The sequence below is a fragment of the Homo sapiens genome, chromosome 17, assembly GCF_000001405.40.
Source record: "Homo sapiens chromosome 17, GRCh38.p14 Primary Assembly".
NCBI lineage: Eukaryota > Metazoa > Chordata > Mammalia > Primates > Hominidae > Homo > Homo sapiens.
In genome coordinates, this window is record NC_000017.11 from 65,362,328 (window position 1) to 65,363,962 (window position 1,635).

Consider the following 1,635-nt stretch of genomic DNA (forward strand, 5'->3'; position numbering starts at 1 on the left):
GTAGCTGGGATTACAGACACACACCACCATGCCCGGCTAATTTTTGGACTTTTAATAGAGACAGGGTTTCACCATGTTGGCAGGGCTGGTCTCAAACATTTGACCTCAAGTGATCTGCCCATCTCAGATTCCCAAAGTACTGGGACTACAGGCATGAGCCACCACAGCCAGCCAAGAGTTCTAATATGACGAGTGTTTCCATTTTGGAGACAAAGAAATTCATCTGGGCTTGTGTAGAGGGAGGTTATGAGATTTAATGAAGCCACACACCCCCGACAAACAGATACAGGACTGGGACTCAGGTCTCCTGGAAGGTCAGCAGGCCAACTTTCCACCACCCTGGTGACCATTTATCAGCCACCCCAGTGGAAGGATGCTGGATAGGATGGAGAGTCAGGAAACCTCAAATTGGTCTCAGTTTGGTCCAGGCTTGGCTGGATAACCTTGATCAGGTCAATTAACCTCTCTGGGGGTGGGACCACATGACCTAGAAGAATAATTTCTGCCCTGAAATTATGTGCCTCTTTCCTCTCCAGAGGAGTTCACTAGAGAATATTTCCTTTGTATATTTCAAAAGGTGATTCAACATATCAAAATGCTGTTTACATCCACCCATTACATAAAACATGGCACTTGGATGTCCCTGGAGGTCAACAGGGAAGGAGAGTTAGACTCAGGTTTCATGTGTCACTAACAGGGAGGTGACTGTTGCTCAGTGCTCAAAGCAAGGTCAGGAGGAAGTCTGTCTCAGAAGAAAAGGATGCTTCCCAGGTAACCACAGGTCTCAGTGAATGCCCGCTGGCCATTAACTACAAAATAAACATTCCACGTTGGAGGGAAGCCTCCCCTTGCTCACCTCTCCTCTCCCTCCTGTTTTTGTTGCTTTTGTCCCTGTGACTTTTAAAAAAAATTTAATGAATAAACTTTATTCCTTTTTTTTTTCAGGGTCTGGCTCTGTCACCCAGGCTGGAGTGCAATGGTGCGATCATAGCTCACTGCAACATCTGCCTCTTGGGCTTAGACGATCCTCCCACCTTGGCCTCCTGAGTAGCTGGGACTATGGGTGCGTGCCACCACGCCTGGCTAATTTTTCTATTCTTAGCAGAGATGAGGTTTCACCATATTCCCCAGGCTGGTCTTGAACTTCTGAACTCAAGCAATCCTCCCTCCTTGGGCTTCCAAAGTGCTGAGATTACAGGCGTGAACCACCTCGTCCAGTCAGACTTTATCCTTTTTTTTTCTTTTCATTTTAATCCAAATCCTGCACAAGACTTTCTTCTTTAGAGTGGTTTTAGATTTACAAAAAATAAGTGAAAATAACAGAGTTTCCATATTACACCACCACCAAATTTCTCCTATTATTAACATCTTGTTAATAACTCATTAGTGTGGTAGATTTGGTACAATTGATAAGACAATACTGATACACTATTGTTAACTAAAGTCTATAGCTTCCATGAGGGTTTCCTTTTTGTGTTGTATATTTCATGAGTTTTGACAAACATACGATGATATGTATCCATGACAATATCATAGAGAAGAGTCTTACTGCCTTAAAAATGCCCTGTGCTCCACCTATTCACCCTCCTCCCTCTCCCCCACCACCCCGGCAACCACTCACCTTTTTATTGCCCC

General features: G+C 44.5%; 1 annotated feature.

The window, feature by feature from the left end:
* Nucleotides 225-1,424: an enhancer, noted in NCBI's record as "CDK7 strongly-dependent group 2 enhancer chr17:63358670-63359869 (GRCh37/hg19 assembly coordinates)". NCBI's record gives its function as "activates an origin of replication core promoter dependent on BRD2, BRD4, P300/CBP, MED14 and CDK7 cofactors, with strong dependence on CDK7, by STARR-seq in HCT116 cells {active_cell/tissue: HCT116}" and the evidence as "EXISTENCE:reporter gene assay evidence [ECO:0000049][PMID:35650434]".